This window comes from Homo sapiens, chromosome 4 (genome assembly GCF_000001405.40).
Source record: "Homo sapiens chromosome 4, GRCh38.p14 Primary Assembly".
Lineage (NCBI taxonomy): Eukaryota > Metazoa > Chordata > Mammalia > Primates > Hominidae > Homo > Homo sapiens.
The window spans coordinates 637,524-655,480 of record NC_000004.12 but is presented as its reverse complement, the minus strand read 5'-3'; the positions used below and the strand labels follow the sequence as shown (position 1 = coordinate 655,480).

The 17,957-nt window shown below is 52.2% G+C and overlaps 1 protein-coding gene and 1 long non-coding RNA gene across 16 annotated transcripts in view, besides 1 other annotated feature; one reads left to right on the top strand and one right to left on the bottom strand.

The window, feature by feature from the left end:
- Positions 1 to 17,957, bottom strand: part of PDE6B (phosphodiesterase 6B) — a 45,210-nt gene that overhangs the window by 15,302 nt on the left and 11,951 nt on the right. For 6 of the 14 annotated variants that reach the window (XM_047415773.1, XM_047415772.1, NM_000283.4 and 3 more), the window contains exons 4-6: positions 1,489 to 1,629; positions 1,327 to 1,401; positions 593 to 657 (exon numbers count right to left, since the gene is read on the bottom strand). In XM_047415773.1, the coding sequence (XP_047271729.1) occupies positions 593 to 657; positions 1,327 to 1,401; positions 1,489 to 1,629 (281 nt within the window). Of the gene's footprint in view, positions 1 to 592; positions 658 to 1,326; positions 1,402 to 1,488; positions 1,630 to 2,161; positions 2,305 to 2,927; positions 3,530 to 17,957 lie in introns of those variants that run through there. The other 8 variants (XM_047415777.1, NM_001145292.2, NM_001350154.3 and 5 more) reach the window with 3 other exon arrangements.
- On the top strand, positions 281 to 2,576 carry PDE6B-AS1 (PDE6B antisense RNA 1). 2 transcript variants are annotated; one of them, NR_183811.1, is made up of 4 exons: positions 281 to 399; positions 1,268 to 1,416; positions 1,510 to 1,723; positions 1,798 to 2,576. It is a non-coding gene; the product is annotated as a PDE6B antisense RNA 1 (long non-coding RNA). The 2 variants fall into 2 exon arrangements; NR_183810.1 differs by lacking the exon at positions 1,268 to 1,416.
- Positions 3,954 to 4,907: an enhancer, noted in NCBI's record as "H3K4me1 hESC enhancer chr4:644363-645316 (GRCh37/hg19 assembly coordinates)". NCBI's record gives its function as "activates a minimal SCP1, AML or CMV promoter by ChIP-STARR-seq in naive H9 embryonic stem cells {active_cell/tissue: H9 hESC(naive)}" and the evidence as "EXISTENCE:reporter gene assay evidence [ECO:0000049][PMID:30033119]".

The window sequence follows — 17,957 nt, the reverse complement described above, 5'->3', positions numbered from 1 at the left end:
CCTGCCCTGCCACCCTGACCCTGACTTGTGCTCAAGCCTGGCACCTGGATCCTGGTTCCTGCTTGGGGCCTGGGGATGGGGTCCCAATAGGCTTATGGGATCACAGGGCCACTGGGCCACCAGCTGCCCCTCCCTTGGCTGGAGTCCTGCCCTGACCTCCGGACTGGAGTTCCCCTCCTCTTCCAGCCCCACGGGGCCAAGACTCGGCCTCCTGGCTGGAGGCTCCACTGTCTGGGTGGGGCTGGTGGTGCCAGGGTCAAATCCTGGGGCCTTCATGCTCAATTGTTGCTGACGAGGCCGCCTGGACAGCTTGCCTGGTCCCCTGTATGTCCACTCTGGATGTCCACAGTGACTCGGGCTCCTCAGCAGCCCACGTCCTCCTCACCATCTCCCAGAACAGTGAGTCGGCTTCTGTCTCACCCCCAACTCCACTATGCCCCACGGCACACAGAGCACCACAGGTGGGGCCAGGCCAGGCCGGTGCTGCTGACTGCACCGTGGGAAGCCCTGGGAGGACGGCCCTGGGGGCTGAGCCGGGGTCTGAGGGGCGGTCCCTCCCCCGGGGACGCTTCTGGTAAAATCCTGCACTTACGGAATGACCTTGATCTCCTCCTTGCCGTGGAGGACGTAGTCGATCACTTTGTAGAAGACAATTTCCTGAGAAGCAGAAGACACTGGTCGGGGGGCTGCCTGGCCAAGCTCTGAGGGGCTCACACACACACACACAGCTACATGCAGCTACACACAGCCACACGCATGCACACCCCCACACACGTAACCGTGCATGTGTACACACGTGAACAGATGTCTCCGCCGTGCGCAGGTATTCTACGAATGCGGGTGCACTCACACCCATGTCCACACATGCACAGGCTCAGGGTGCACACACATGCAGACCGTCCCCAATACTCACGGGACACGCATCACACGCCGCGGTTTACATCTGTCTTCCCAGTCTGTGTTCCGCACAATCCCACACACAAGCTGGGCCCGTACTCTCACACACACACACACACACGCATCCTACACGTGCACAGGAGGTCCCACGTGGGGAGATGGGGCAGCAGGAGCCCCCACAATCAGAGCCGACGTGGGTCTTCACGACCAGCCTGGCGGCCCTCATTCAGGGACCAGCCCTGGACACCCCATCCCTGGAGTGCAGCAGCAGGGGAGCCTGGTGGAGACCACAGACAGGCACCCGGGGTCCCACCGGCCAGTTCCCACCTCCCTAAACCCCACCCCTATCCCTCCCTCTCCTGCCCTGGAGTTGGAGTCAGGGAAACAGAGGCGTGTGGACAGGCCCTGGGCCCCTCCCCTAAGACTCACCCGGCCATCAGGCGTGCGTGGGCCCGAGTACGGCTGGGACTCTCCCATCAGCACAGACCACACGTCAAAAAATTCCTGGGCAGAGAAGAGGTGAGGGTGGGGCGGTCACTGCGGGACCTGGGTCGGGCCAGGCAGGGGGTCCCTGAGCCACGGAAGCCTCACCTTCTCCTTGGTCATGTCCAGGAGGCCCACGGAGTACCGCTCGCAGTTGAGGTAGGCCCGCACCGTGTAGAAGGCCTTGTGGAACTGCCTCTCGATGTCCGTCAGCTCCTCAAACACCTTGTTGGCCGACCACAGCAGCACCTGGAGGGAGGGGCACACCTGTGGGCCTGTGGCCACTCCCACCCTCACGCCGGTCTGACCACAGCAGCAGGGGTTTAACTCAAGCCTGACACAGGTGCGCTCCCTGATCTGACCACCTGCCCAGCCGTGGAGCCTGGCACAGACCCTGATTGGTGGCTCCGTGGCCAGGTTTCATCTGAGCTTGTGGGGCCCGGGAGCTGGCTGGCGGTGAGGCCTCGAGGCTGCGGTCGTGTCCCTGATCACTCAGGAGTGGACGAGTGGAAAGTGGAATCTGTCGCTTTGAGCTTGACAGGCAAACATCCGACCAGCCCTTCCTCCGCCCGGCTGCTCCAGAACCACCTGCGGCGAGCAGGGCTTTGAGAACATCGGGCCGTGGTTTCCGCACGTCAGGCCGCCTGTGGCCTCCGCCAAGCGTCTGAGAGTGAAGCATTGCTGACGCACTCCACGAGGTCCTGGCCAGACCCCACTCAGGACATCCCGCTGCACAGGCCCCTGGTTGCTGGGTCAGCGCTGCCACCAGGCTCAGACTCACCCCAGGGCCCTCCTTGGGCCACCTTTCTCTGCCTCCTTGGTCAAGGCCCAGACCCAGGCCCCACCAGGCCCTGCCTCCTCACACTCGCGGCGGCCGCTGGGTCTTCTACCGCATGGTGCCAGCTCCCTCTCCTCCGCTGCGGTGTCCTAGCCCAGCTCTCTCCCTGCCAGGCCCTCTGAAGTTCCACCCCCTGGCACTCAGCTCATGGTGGGAACAGGACCAGGCTCTCCTGTTGCCAAGGGCAGTGAGATGTTCGTAGCTTTATTTCCCAGTACATTGATTTTACTGATTTTAGTTTATCTTCAGTTGAATAATTGTGTGTATTGATGGGGTTTATGTTTTATGGGGTTTGGCGTGATGTTCTGATGTAAGTATTTGTTGCAGAAAGATTCAATTAAGCTAATCAACATATCCATCACCTCACCAACTTGTTTTTTTTGTGGTGAGAACATTACAAGTCTATTTTCTAGCAATTTGGTATACAATACAGTCATCCCTCGGCATCCTCAGGGAAATTGGTTCCAGGACGCCGCTCTGATAACAAAATCCGAGGATGTTCAAGTCCCGGATGTGAAATGGCCTAGAGTTTGTACAGAGGTTGCACACGCACCCCCAGGACTTCAAATCATCTCCGATGACTTAGCACCCAGTGCAAGGCAAGGCCATGAAAACGGCTGTTCTACTGTATTGTTTTACATTCTTATTCTTATTTTTAATTTAAAACTTTTCCCACATCATAAATCCTCGGAAGCAGAACTGCACTTACCGAGCACCCTGTGTACTGTGGTTAACGGCAGTGGTGGCCGCCACACAGCGCGGCTGACCTTGAAGCCCACAGCTCCAGCTAACGAACGCTTTGCACCCTTTCACCAACGTCTCTGCTTTCTCTATCTCTCTTCCTGCCCCGGCCTCCTGCAACCCCCTTTCCACTCTCTGTTTCCATGAATTCAGGGTTTTCGGATCCCACATGTGAGTGAGATCCTAGCTTTTGGCCAGTGGCATCCTCCAGGTCCATGCACGTCAGTGCCCTTCCCTGGCAGCATCCTCAGTGCCGGCTCTGCTGTTCCCAGAGTCCCTCCCTCCCTCCCTGCTGAGGCCCGGCCCCCCTGCAGCCCCTGAGCACCAGCCTCTCTCGTCCAACACCTTTTTCTCCCTGAAGCCTTTCCTGAGCCATGTTTCTCCAGTGACCCTGACCCCTGCCTCGCAATCTCCGCCCGGGTCTGCAGCCTACCCTGACTCCTGCCTCACCGATGGGTGTGGACCCTCCTCACTGGCCTCCACACTCTCCTGCCCTGACCCCAGTCACCGTCGTGGAGCCGCCCTGGCCGCAGTCACAGTCATGGAGCTGCTGCTGGTGCCACCCTCAGCAGAAGCTCCCAGCCTTCCCAGCCCCTATCTGAGTATGTCCCACCCCCCGTGTCCCTGCACTGGTCAGGAGCTTTGGCCCCATGCCCGTGTGAAGAAGTCAGCTCAGTCACTGGAGTTAGTGGGTCCAGAACAGGACTTGGGAAAACAGCAGGTGCAGATGGCGACCGCCCTAGCACTCTCCACAGCCCCGGCACCTGCTGAATGGAGACGGCTCCCCATAGCCCCGGCGCCTGCTGAATGGAGACGGCTCTTCATAGCTCCAGAGCCTGCTGAATGGAGACGGCTCCCCATAGCCCTGGCGCCTGCTGAATGGAGACGGCTCTCCACAGCCCCGGCGCCTGCGGCTCAGGAGACTCGCTGTAGATGTGTGGAATCGCCAGGTGCATTCTCCTCGCGTGACTGGTTCACCCAGAGCCGCAGGTGGAGGCCCGGCCCCACCCTCTGCGCCCTCTGCGTCCCTCCCACACTCAGTCTGTCTCCTGCCGAACTCAGCGCCTTCGCACGGGCTCTGGCCTCTGCCTCCAGGCCCTCATCCCAGGCCCTCCTCCTCCCAAGGCCTGGCCTCAAGTCCTTTCCAGGAGGCCCCCCCTGAGGACCCACCAACCCCTGGGGCCCCCACTCCCCATTCAGTCTGACCCCACGGGTCAGCCCCTGCCCCGCCTGTGACGGCCCCACTGCTGTTGACATCGCCGCCTCAGCCCCTGCCCCGCCTGTGACGGCCCCACTGCCGTTGACATCGCCGCCTCAGCCCCTGCCCCGCCTGTGACGGCCCCACTGCTGTTGACATCGGCGCCTCAGCCCTGTCCTGCCTGTGACGGCCCCACTGCTGTTGACATCGCCACCTCAGCCCCTGCCCCGCCTGTGACAGCCCCACTGCCGTTGACATCGCCGCCTCAGCCCGTCCTGCCTGTGACAGCCCCACTGCCGTTGACATCGGCACCTCAGTGAGGGGAGGCACTGAGTTCAAGGTGGTCCCAGCCCAGCAGCCCCACCCTGAGGCTTCTGCCGTCCTCCTTGTTTTCATTTTTAATTTTCCGGTTAAAAGCCTGCTGGTGCACACAGCAACTGACTGAAGTGCAGGCGTCTTCAGCGTGTGGCGGGTGGATTTTCGCTGCCGGCTCGGGCTCAGGGCATTCCTCTGTGCCCCCGTCAACACCCCCTGCCCTCCGGAATGGCTCTTCCAACCTCCGACCCTGGCCTGCTCTGAAACGGCATCTACGCAGCCTCCCCAACCAGCCTTCTCGCCTCCGCAGCCTCCAGACGCCAGCCCTCCCTGCCGGCCCCCCTCCCTGTGTGTGGGTGTCGGAGCTGTTTCTGTCCTGACTGCTGGGAGTCTTGGTGCCTGGGTGGTTCTGGGCTGGGGGACCCCCTCCACTCTGTCCCCTCGGTGCCCTGACCCCACGCTTGGGGCCTTCCTGGGCCCTCTCTGCCCACGCAGGTGTCCCTGGCATCTTCCTGGGCAGCATCCCTCAATTCCAACTCCAGATCGAAGGGGAGCCCTGAGGCCTCTGATGGAGGCTGTTGCCTGTGTGGAGGAAGCAGGCTGTGAGGCTTCGCACCTGGGGTCTGCCTGTCCTGGGCAGTGGGGACAGGGGGGGCCGGACACCCAGCAGTGTTGAGCTCTCAGCCTTTCAAGAGATGTAGAAACCCTAATTCTTACGTGAATTGTCTCGACTTTAAAATGTTGGGAACTTGTTAAGCCAAACATCCAGTGCTGGGTGGGACCTACCCCCTTTTCAAGGTGTGGCTGGAGGCCCGCCCTGGAGTTTTCCAGACTTGTCCCCTCCTCAGGGAGCGGGGGCCCCTCCTGCCCCAAGCCCGTGCCCAGCGTCCCAGCACCCCGGTACAGGATACACCTGCTGCATCCACAAGGCCCCGGGGATGGTTCGAGCAGCCTGGGCTTCTGGGCTGCATGGAAGCTGAGGTTGTGTCCCTCCTGCATTGACTGGGGTCAGGTTTAATGCTCCAGGGTGAAACCAGGGTGACAGCGGTGGCCACCCCGTGTACTCAGAAATGAGGGATCCACTGACATGGGGGGCAGAAGGCACAGAGACGCATATGGCCCTGGAAGGGGAGCTGCTCAGCCTCATGGCCCTCTCATTACTTATGGGAAGGAGGGGCCAGGAGGTCCTGAGGGGCCAGGGCAGATGGGATCCCCACTGGCTGCCCAGCCAGTGGAGTAGGGCCAGAGTCTCCCCCCGACCCTGAGCCCTGGGCCATAGCTGTGGTGGGAGGCAAGCGCTCAGGCCTACGCGGTCCCAACCCCAGGCCTTTGTGGGTCCACCAGCGAACAGTCTTCCCAGGCCTCTGTGGGTCCACCAGCGAACAGTCTTCCCAGGCCTTTGTGGGTCCACCAGTGAACAGTCTTCCCAGGCTGTGGTCAGCATAAGGGACCCCAGCGAGTGCCTGGGGAATCCAAGAATGGCGCTCCTTCACTTTCAAAGCAGCAGCAGGTGGCCCCAGCGTCCCTTGGAGGCCTGGTCGCTAGGACGGGCCTCGGCCCTACTGAAGCCCCAGCCCCAGGAGCCTTGTTTCTGGAGACGTTTCCCCCTGGGCCCAGGGCCTTGACAAATCTAGTGTGTGTCCTGGCATCAGGGCAGAGGGCTTCATCTCATGGTGAGCTTCTCAGAGCTGGTTGTTGAATCCTCAGGCATTCTGAGAGCCAGCCATTAAACATAGCCATTATGACAATTCAATCATGGCCATTATGTCAATTAAATCATGTAACCTATAAACTAGAACACTGTATTAAAAGGAAAGGCGACAGACACCCAGGATCACCCGCCCCGCCCCACTGTGGGTCGCTGTTGGCCGTGCTCGGGGCTTCGCTACGGCAGACGGACTGCTGTGCCAGCGTGGATCTCCCCACAGCTCCATCTGGCTCATCATGGTGGGGCCCTAAGTCCGAAGTTGGCCAGCTCAACAGGCTCCCGCCACTGCCCGGTGTGGACAGACCACGCCCGCCCCTCCTGGCCGCCTCTCACTTCTGAATGGCTCTGCTTCCTCACAGGAGGCAGGAGTCAGACCTGCAGAGACAGAAGGCTCCCCCGCTCCTCCCATGCCTGACCTGAGTCGGGGCACCTCCTCCGCCCTTGCAGCGAGCCACCGGGTCCTGACGCATGGCCGGCCTGAAGGTGAGAGCTGCAGCCCTGCACCCACAGGCCTTTCATGCAGCTTTGCTGCAGCTCAGACAGCTGGGCGGTGAGAATTGCTCCACTAAGCCGAACAGGCAGCTGCCGTGACAGGTCAGAGAGAAACCTGAGCTCTGTAGGGCCTAACCCATGGCTTTCCTGCGGCCTCTGTTGGCTCTGATGGGAGTGTCCGAGAGGCTTTTCAGAAAGGGAATGGCAGGGGCCTCCAGCTGGAGGGTGCCTGGGACAGAAGGTAGTTCCTGATTGTCCAGGTGAGGGCCCGGGACAGAGGGAGGGGGGAGCGCCCAGAGGCTGCTTCAATCCCAGTGACCAGCTTTCCTTCCACAGCTCAAGGAGGAGGCAGACGAAGTGCAGGCGTTGGGCGGACTGCGGGGGCCAATCTTTGCTCATCACAAACTTTTATTTTCAAAAAGAGCCGTGAGGCAGGCCTGTGCCTCCTGCAAGTCAGGATGCCTAAAAATGCCGTTCGGAGGGCAAGACCCAGAAACAGCTTTTCCTAGGACTGGGCAATGTCTGGTGCAAAATCGAAAGTCTCACATGGAGACACAAGGTCACGTGTTAGAACCTTGAGCTGGTCTCCACATGCCTGCAGACTGAGAGGCTGGAAACAAGGAGTTTCCTAGGTGTTGGTAATTCACTTGTTGCCTGGTTTAGGGCTGGGGTGACCAGACAACAGAACGGGCAAATACGCCTGACTCTTGGCTCTTTCTTTCTTTTTTTTTTCGAGATGGAGTTTTGCTCTTGTTGCCCAGGCTAAAGTGCAGTGGCGCGATCTTGGCTCACTGCTACCTCTGCCTCCCGGGTTCAAGCAATTTTCCTGCCTCAGCCTCCTGAGTAGCTGGGGTTATAGGCATGCACCACCACGCCCAGCTAATTTTTTGTATTTTTTACTAGAGATGGGGTTTCACCATTTTGGCCAGGCTGGTCTCGAACTCCTGACCTCAGGTGATCTGCGCGCCTCAGCCTCCCAAAGTGCTGGGATTACAGGCATGAGCCATCACACCTGGCCAGAGCCACACTTTTAAAACTGAGGTCTGTTGCTGGGTGGTTCCCGCTGTGTACTAGATTGCGTGCCCCTCCCCCCATGCATCTGTGAAGCCCTCACCCGAGATGCGATGGTGAGTGGAGGTGGGGCCCTGGGGGATGATTAGGGTTAGGTGAGGTCACGAGCCTGGGGCCCCTACGAGACGTGCCCTTATGGGACGAGGACACAGCAAGCCAGGGAGAGAGCCCTCGCCAGAAATGGAACCTGGTCAGCACCTTCATCTGGAACTTCACAGCCTCCAGAAGTGTCAGAAACGAATGCCCACTGTCTCAGGTGCTCGGTGTGTGGTATTTTGTTATGGCAGCTCAAGCTAATACAGAAGCAAAAACAAACCATAAACAAGGGCGCGGAAGCTGCTGTCACCCTCAGCTGCAGCAAATGTTCATTCAATACAGCCCAGCTCCCGGCCAGATGGACCCCAAATCCCACACTCAAGGCTGATTTGCCCCAGTCCCTGCTTTGGCCAAAAATTATAAGTCATGCTAAAAGGCAAGAAAAAGCAACAGTCCAAAAAGGCAAAGCAAGCCTCAGAACCAGACTCAGATGTGACACGAAGTTGGGAATTATCAGACTGGGAATTTAAAATTACTATGATCAGGCCAGGCGAGGTGGCGCATGCCTGTAATTCTAGTGCTTTGGGAGGCTGAGGCGGGCAGTTCAACTGAAGTCAGGAGTTCAAGACCAGCCTGGCCAACATGGTGACACTCATCTCTACTAAAAATACAAAAATTAGCCGGGCCGCGGTGGTGGGCACCTGTAATCCCAGCTACTCAGGAGGCTGAGGCAGGAGAATCACTGGAACCCAGGAAGCGGCGGCTGCAGTGAGCCGAGATTGAGCCACTGCACTCCAGCCAGGGCCACAGAGCAAGACAATGTCTCAAAAAAAAAAAAGGAAAATTATGATGATCAATATGCTAAAGGCGCTACTAGAAAACGGAGGCAGCGCACCGGAGCAGATGGTAACATAAGCAAAGAGATGGACGCTCTGGGAAGGACAAGGCGCGCTGGAGTACAGGAAATGCGAGGTGGAAACGCAGTGCGCCGCCGCCCGGCCGGAGGCTGCGCGTGTCTGAGGAAGGGGGCCGGGAGCGCGAACACAGAAACGCAGAGGGAACCACGAGCGGAGCGAGCGGAGCAGAGAGACAAATACAGAAGGTGCGAGTGGGCGGCGGGTGCCGGAAGGAGCAGAAAGAGCGAAGGAGAAGACATGTTGGAAGTAATAATGGCTGAGATTTTCCAAAAGTATTGACAGACACCAAACCGCGCGTCTAGGATGCTCAGTGACTGTCAAAAAAGACAAATGCCAAAAAACTGATCCTAAGGCACGTCATATTCAAACTGCAGACAACCAAGCTGAAAACCTCGAGGGAAGCTGGGGGTGGGGGAACATCTGACCAAGAGTGGAACGAGACGTTGGAAACATCTCATCAGAAACGATGCGAGCAAGAGGAGAGTGAAGTATTGGAAGTGTTGAGAAAAAAATGTGCTAACTTATAATTCTGTATACAGTAAAATTATCCTTAAGAAGTGAAGGAGAAATAAAGACTTTCTCAGATAAACAGAAACTGAGGAATGTGTTACCAGTGGACTTGCCCAGCAGAAAATGTTCAAAGAAGTTCCTTGGAAACAGGAAGAATGAGATAGATCAGAAACTTGCATATGCGTGAAAAAAGGAAGAGCAGCAGAAAATAAATAAATGACAGGAAAGCAACATATTTTCTTTTTCTTAATTTCTCTAATAATAGCTATTTGTTCAAAGTAATAATAGTAACAGTGTATTACATGATTATAGCACGTGGATAAGTAAAATAAATGGCAGAAATTTTATAAGGGTGGAAGTGAGAAGTTGTAGGTACATTGTGGTAAGATAGCCACACTCTAAGTGAAGCAGTATAATGCTATTTGGAAGAGGGCTTAGAGTAGTCATAAATGATTATTGCAAATTCTGGGGAAATGCTAAAATTTTTTGGAAAAACAAGTATAACTGATAAGCTAAGAGAGGAGAGAGTGTGGGATAAGACGTTCAATTAAAACCAGAGAAGGCAGAAAAAAAGAGGGGATGATAATAATAAAGAGTAAGTGCAACACAGAGAAAATGTTTAAGAATATGGTATATATTAATCCAACTATATCAATAATCACTTTAAATGTGACTAGCCTGGCCGGGCGCGGTGGCTCACGCCTGTAATCCCAGCACTTTGGGAGGCCGAGGCGGGCGGATCACGAGGTCAGGAGATCGAGACCATCCTGGCTAACACGGTGAAACCCCGTCTCTACTAAAAATACAAAAAATTAGCCGGGCGTGGTGGCGGGCGCCTGTAGTCCCAGCTACTCGGGAGGCTGAGGCAGGAGAATGGCGTGAACCTGGGACGTGGAGCTTGCAGTGAGCCGAGATCGCGCCACTGCACTCCAGCCTGGGCGACAGAGCGAGACTCCGTCTCAAAAAAAAAAAAAAAAAAAAAAATGTGACTAGCCTAAATACACCACTTGACAGATTTTCAGAGCGGATAAAAAGAACTAAGACCTGACCCTATATATGTTGTCTATAAAAAACCCACTGTAAGTATAAAGACACACATAGTTTAAAAGTAAGGAATGAAGAAATATATGCTATGCTAATAATAATCCAAAGACACTGGGGTAGCTATATTAATTTAGACAAAGAGTACTTTAGAACAAGGAAAATTGTTGGTGGAAGGGGCATGACAACATGATAAAGGGGTTGTTTCTCTATGAAGACATAAAAATCATTCATGTTCACACATCTAATAACAAAGCTTCGAAACACATGAAGCAAAAGCTGATGGAGCTGTAAGGAGAGACGCATCCTCCACTACTGTTGGAGACTTAGTACCCTCTATCAGAATGAGCACATCCAGCAGGCAGAGGCTCAGTAAGGACATTGCTGAACTAAACAACACTGTGGGCCGGGCATGGTGGCTCACGCCTGTCATCCCAGCACTTTGGGAGGCCGAGGTGGGCGGATCATCTGAGGCTGGGAGTTCGAGACCAACCTGGGCAACATGGGGAAATCCCGTCTCTACTAAAAATATAAAAAGTAGGTGGGCGTGGTGGCGTGTGCCTGTAGTCCCAGCTACTCGGGAGGCTGAGGCGGGAGAATCACCTGAATCCACGAGGTGGAGGTTGCAGTGAGCTGAGATCACACCACTGCGCTCCAGCCTGGGCAACAGAGAAAGAATCTGTCTCAAAAAAATAAAAATAAAAAAAACAAAAACACTGTTATTCGAATGGACATAATTGACATCTATAATTTACCTCATCCACCAACAGCACAATACCCATTCTTCTCAAGGTCACGTGGAGCATACAGCAAGATAAACCACATTCTAGGCCATAAAACACATCTTAACAAAATTTTGAAAATAAAAATAATGAAAAATATGTTCTTATACCATAGTGCAATTAAATTAGAAATCAATAACAGAAATATAGCTGAAAAATTTAAAATGGATTTAACAACACACTTCCAAATAACAGATGGGCCAGAGTCTGAAGAGACCTTTTAAAAGATTTTGAACTAGGGGCACGGTGGCTCACGCCTGTAATCCCAGCACTTTGGGAGGCCGAGGCGGGCAGATCACGAGGTCGAGAGATCGAGACCATCCTGGCCAACATGGTGAAACCCCGTCTCTACTAAAAATGCAAAAATTAGTTGGGTGTGGTGGTGTGTGTCTGTAGTTCCAGCTACTCGGGAGGCTGAGGCAGGAGAATGGCATGAACCCGGGAGGTGGAGGTTGCAGTGAGCCGAGATCCCACCACTGCACTCCAGCCTGGCTACAGAGCGAGACTCCCTCAAAAAAAAAAAAAAAAAAAAAGATTTTGAACTAAATAAGAATAAAAATATACAACCTGTCAGAATTTGTCAGGTGCAGGGAAAGCAGTGCTTGGAGGGAAATTTATAGTATTGAATGCACATAATAAACAAGAAGAAAGATCTAAATCAACACTCAAAGCTTAAGAAACTAGAAAAAGAACTTCAAATTAAGCCTAAAGCAAGCAGAAGAAAATAAATAATAAATATTATGACAACTCTATGCCTCAAAATTTGATTTTAACTTAGATGAAATAGACTGATCACTAGAAAGACACAAACTACCAAGACTCACACCAGGAGAATTAGAAGAATCTGAAGAGTTCTCTGAGTATTAAAGAAATTGAATCAATAATTAATAATCATCCAAAAAGAAAGCACCAGTCCCTAATAGTTTCACTGGTGAATCTGACCAAACATTTAGGAAAGATGTTATGTCAATTCACTACAATCCCTTCCAAAAAATAGAAGCAGAGGAAACACTCTTATCTCATTCAATGAGGTCAAAATTATCCTAATAGCAAAACCAGATAAAGACATTATAAGAAAGAAAAACTACAGACCAATGTAGCTCATGAATATAGATGCAAAAATTCTTTTTTTTTTTCTTTTTTTGAGATGGAATCTCGCTCTGTCTCCCTGGCTGGAGTGCAGTGGCATGATCTTGGCTCGCTGCAACCTCCACTTCCCGGGTTCAAGTGATTCTCCTGCCTCAGCCTCCTGAGTAGCTGGGACTACAGATGTCTGCCACCATACCCAGCTAATTTTTGCATTTTTAGTAGAGACGGGGTTTCACCATGTTGGCCAGGATGGTGTCAATCTCTTGACCTCGTGATCCGCCCGCCTCAACCTCCCAAAGTGCTGGGATTATAGGTGTGAGCCACCACACCCGGCTTATAGATGCCAAAATTCTTAACAAAACATGGCAAGACCGATTTAACAATGTATGAAAATAATAATTACACTACATGACCAGGTGGCATTTATTCCAGGTATGCAAAGCTCGTTCACAATTTGTTCAAAAAATACATGATGTTATCAATCAATGCAGAAAAAAATTTGAAAAATCCAACACTCATTCTGAATAAAAACACTTAGCAAACTAGAAATAGAGAGAACTTCCTCAAGTGGATTTTAAAAATTCAACAAAAACCCTAGAGCTAAGGGCATTCTTTTTTTTTTTTTTTTTTTTTTTTTGAGACAGTGTCTGTTGTCCAGGTTGGAGTGCAGTGGCGAGTTGCTGGGACTGCTGGCACACACCACCACACCTGGCTAACTTTTTTGCATTTTTTGTAGAGATGGTGTTTCGCCATGTTGCCCAGGCTGGTCTCAAGCTCCTGGGCTCAAGCTATCTGCCTGCCTTAGCCTTCCGGAGTGCTGGGATTATAGGCATGCGCCACCATGCTGGGTGATGTCATTCTTTTTTTAGTTTAGTTTTGTTTTTTTTCAGACGGAGTTTACTCTTGTTGCCCAGGCTGGAGTGCAATGGCATGATCTTGGCTCACCACAACCTCTGCCTCCCAGGTTCAAGCGATTTTCCTGTCTCAGCCTCCCAAGTAGCTGGAATTATAGGCATGCACCACCATGCCTGGCTAATTTTTTGTATTTTTAGTAGAGATGGGGGTTTTTCTCCATGTTGGTCAGGCTGATCTCAAACTCCCGACCTCAGGTGATCCACCCACCTTGGCCTCCCAAAGTGCTGGGATTATAGGCATGAGCCACCATGCCCAGCTGGGTGATGTCATTCTTAATGGTGAGAAAGTGGATGCTTTCTCCTAAGATTGGGAATAAGGCAAAGATATCTCCCTCCTCTCACCACTCACATTCAACATTATACTTGAAGTCCTAGCTAGTGCAATAAGGCAAGAAAAAGAAATACAATGTATATAGATTGAGAAGGAAGAAATAAAACTATCTTTGTTTGCAGATGACATGATTGTCTAGGTAAAAACACCAATAATCAATAAAAAACTCCTGGCTTGGTATGGTGGCTCAGGCCTGTAATTCCAGCACTTTGGGAGGCTGATGTGGGCAGATCACCTGAGGTCAGGAGTTTAAGACCAGCCTGGCCAACATGGTGAAACCCCATCTCTACTAAAAATACAAAAATTAGGTGGGCATGGTGATGCACATCAGTAGTCTCAGCTACTTGGGAGGCTGAGGCAGGAGAGTCGCTTGAACCCGGGAGGTGGAGGTTGCAGTGAGCTGAGATTGCACCACTGCACTCTAGCTTGGGTGACAGAGTGAGACTCTGTCTCAGAAAACAAAAAACAAAAAACAAAAAACGTGTGTCTCTGACGGCTGTGTGCGGGGCTGTGGTCAGGGCCTCATGGGTCCCCCAGGAGCTGGGACGCCTAGGTGGCCTGCCCCTGCCGCACAGCCCAATAGACCTTGGTTTTAAAAGTGTGGCTGTGACGGTACTTGGTGAGCCCCCTGGACATGACCAAGGAGAAGGTGAGGCCTCAGGCACTCAGGGACCCCCTGCCCAGCCTGACCTGGCTCCTGCGCTGACCGCCTCACCCTCACCTCTTCTCTGCCCAGGATACAAAGTTAACATACAAAGGTCCATTGCTTTGCTTTATAACAGCAATGAAGAATTGGAATTTGAAATTAAGAACCCAATATCTCTTACATTACCATGGGAAAATGAAATACTTAGGTACAAATCTAATAAAATTATGGATTTGTATGCAGAAACTGCAAAATTCTGATAAAAGGAATCAAAGATCTAAATAAATGAAGAGATATTCTGTGTTTATCAATTGGAAGATACATTATTTCTAAGATGGCAATTTTTCCCAACTTGATCTACAGATTTAATACAGTCCCAATTACAATACCAGTAAGCTACTTTGTGGATATTGACAAACTGACTCTTAAGGTTTATGTGGAAAGGCAACAAACCCAGAATAGCTAGCACAATACTGCAGAAGAAAGACAACTAGAGCGCTGACATTCCCAACTTCAAGACTTACTCTAAACCTACAGTGATCAAGATGGTCTGGTATCATGAATGAATAAACACATACAACAGTGGAACAGAATAAAGAGCTCAGGAATAGACTCACCAACAGAGCCAGGTGATCTTTGACAAAAGAGCAAAAGCAATACGACGGAGAAAAGGTAGGCTTTTTCTACATATGGTGCTGGATCAACTGGACTTCCACATGCCAACAACAACACAAAAAATTAATCTAGATGCAGTCCTTACACACCTTTCAGAAAATGAATCACACATCTAACGTAAAATACAAATCTATACAACCTCTAGCAGACAATAAGAGAAAATGTAGGTGACCTTGGGTTTAGTGATGAGTTTTTAGATACAACACAAAATACAATCCATGAGGGAAAAAAAATGCTAAGTTGGATTTTTTTTTTCCCAAGATGGAGTCTCACTCTGTCGTCCAGGCTGGGGTGCAATGGTGCGATCTCAGCTCACTGCAACCTCTGTCTCCCAGGTTCAAGTGATTCTCTTGCCTCAGCCTCCTGAGTAACTGGGATTACAGGTGCCCGCCACCATGCCTGGCTAATTTTCATATTTTTTTTAGTAGAGATGGGGTTTCACCATCTTGGCCAGGCTGGTCTTGAACTCCTGACCTCAGGTGATTGGCCTGCCTTGGCCTCCCAAAGTGCTGGGATTACATGAGCCACCACGCCTGGCCAATTGGACTTTATTATAATAAAATTTAAAACTATTTTGCAAAATACAGTGTAAAGTGAGTTAAAAGACAAGCCACATCTTGGTAGAAAATATTTGCAAATCACTCTTCTTTTTTTGTAGAGATAGGGTCTCACTATATTGACCAGGCTGATCTCAAATTCCTGGCCTCAAGTGATTCTCCCACCTCAGCCTTCCAAAGTGCTGGGCCTGTAGAGGTGAGCCACTGCTCCTGGTCTCAGCATCACTTTTTTTATTTTTTTGGAGATGGAGTCTCGCTCTGTCGCCCAGGCTGGAGTACAGTGGGGTGATCTCGGCTCACTGCAGGTCTTGGGGAGGAGGACCTGAGGGGGAGACCCAGCTCCTGGGTTCAAGCGATTCTCCTGCCTCAGCCTCCCGAGTAGCTGGGACTACAGGCATGCGCCACCATGTCTGGCTAATTTTTTGTATTTTAGTAGAGACAGGGTTTCACCGTGTTGCCCAGGCTGGTCTCAAACTCTTGACCTCAGGTGATCTGCCCGCCTCGGCCTCCCTAAGTGCTGGGATTGCAGACATGAGCCACCGTGCCCGGCCTCAGCATCACTTTTGAATACAAGTTTAACTTTCTCATGCCAGAAGCAGGGCTTAGTCACCCTTGACAGTTTCCAGTTCTGCACCTCAGTGGCTCAAGCCGATGGCAGCCATAAGAACTTAGAGGCATCTCTCCTGCCCAGAAGCCTGGGCTCCCCACTTCTCCCCCTTTCCTTTAGAAAAGGCTGTTCAGACATTTGCCCATGAACTTAAGGGACCTGCTCTCTATTCCCTCATGTTTGCTGCTAGCAGAGCCCCTGCTCTGCCTGACTTGCCATTTCTGCCTCCTGTGAACTGTGGACCCCAAGAAAAACATCACAGAACTGCCCTTCTGCCATCCTGGGCAACACAGCAAGACCCTGTCTCTAAAAAAAAAATAATTACCCAGGTGTGGTGGGGTGCACCTGTAGTCCCAGCTGCTTGGGAGGCTGAGGCAGGAGGATCTGTTGAGCCCAGGAGTTTGAGGCTGCAGTGAGCTATGATTGCACCACCGCACTCCAGCCTGGGCAGCAGAGTGAGGCCTTGTCTCAAGAAAAAAAAAAACACCCCCCAAAAAAACAAAACTGCCCTCCAGAATCACGGTGCCTTTCCTGCCCAGGACCTGTAGTAAAAATCTTTGCACGTGTTTCCTATCACAGTGGTGGACTGAATTTGTGCTTCCATCTGAAGAGCTAGGAGCTACCCCAGGCCAGCTTTTCCCTGGGACCCTGGAGGGAACAGAGGGTTGGGCTCCCTGTGCCAGAGCGATGGCCAGGTAGGCATGACCTGGGCATGGGTCAGACACAAGCCTCAGGCACCTGCCAATATGAACAAGTTTCCTGTGTGAGTGAGCCCCTGGTTGAGGGCTGGATAATTAGGCACGAGGCTGCCCACTGAATGAAAGAAGATCCTGTGAAAGGTGCAGGATAAACACCAGGCCCAGCCCCCCTCATTACCTGCTAGGGTAACGAGGACCCCTCATTACTGGGACCCTCATTGGGGCCCTCAATGGGACCCCAATTTAGCAAGAAGCTCTCAAAGCAAACATATCTGATAAAGGACTTGTGTTGAAAATATATTTAAAAACTCTGGTTGGGTGCAGTGGCTTACACTTGTAATCACAGCACTTTAGGAGGCCGAGGCAGGAGGATCATTTGAGGTCAGGAGTTCGAGACCAGCCTGGCCAACATGGTGAAACCCCGTCTCTACTAAAAATACAAAAACTAGCTGGGCGTGGTGGTGGGCGCCTGTAATCCCAGCTACTCTGGAGGCTGAGGCAGGAGAATCGCTTGAACCTGGGAGGCGGAGGTTGCAGTGAGCCAAGATTTCACTATTGCACTCCACCTGAATGACAAGAGTAAGACCCTGTCTCCAATAAATAAATAAATAAAATAAAAACAAAACTCTTCAAATGCTAAGAACACAACCCCATCAAACAGGGCAAAAGATCTGAACAGACACCTCACCAAAGATTAAGATGTACAGATGGCAAATATGTAAATGAATAGACGTGCGACATCATCTGTCATTAGGGGATTGTAAATTACAGCAATAATGAGATGCTACCATACACCCATCAGACTACAGTTCCACCAAACGCTGGTGAGGGTGCAGAGCAGCAGGAACGCTCACTCGTCACTGGCAGGAAGGAACAGAGCAAGCCGCCTTCTGGCCTCAGTAAGACTGAAGGCAAAAGAAACTCTTCATCAACCCCGTATTCTACTTGATAACACTGTTCTCCACGGGGTGTGGGTGAACAGTCCTGACGCGGCTATTCCCCTGCGCTGGTATCAGACAATTAAGTGCCTGTGCGGAGGACAGCTCCCAGGCATCCCACTGTTGCATGGGAATTCACACAGCAGCAAGAGGAAGAAGCCAGAATGTGTCGCGCTGTCGTGGACCAGGGTTGGAGACGTCAGCTCGAGCGCGATGGTCACGTGCAGGAACATTTGCAGCTCTGCGCACACGCAGGGGACGAGCGAGGGCTGGCAGAGCACGGCTGCCTCTCGCTGTGCCGGACGAGAGGGCCTGGAAGCAGTGACCCCGGCAACAAGCACAGCCGGCCCCCAGGCCGCGGCTCCTGTTACTGCTTTCCAACAGAAGGAACCAGGCTCCCTGGAGAAGTGGCTGATGGCAAGACCAGGGCAGGAAATACACAATGAGACAGGGGCATCCATTTCAAAACCAAG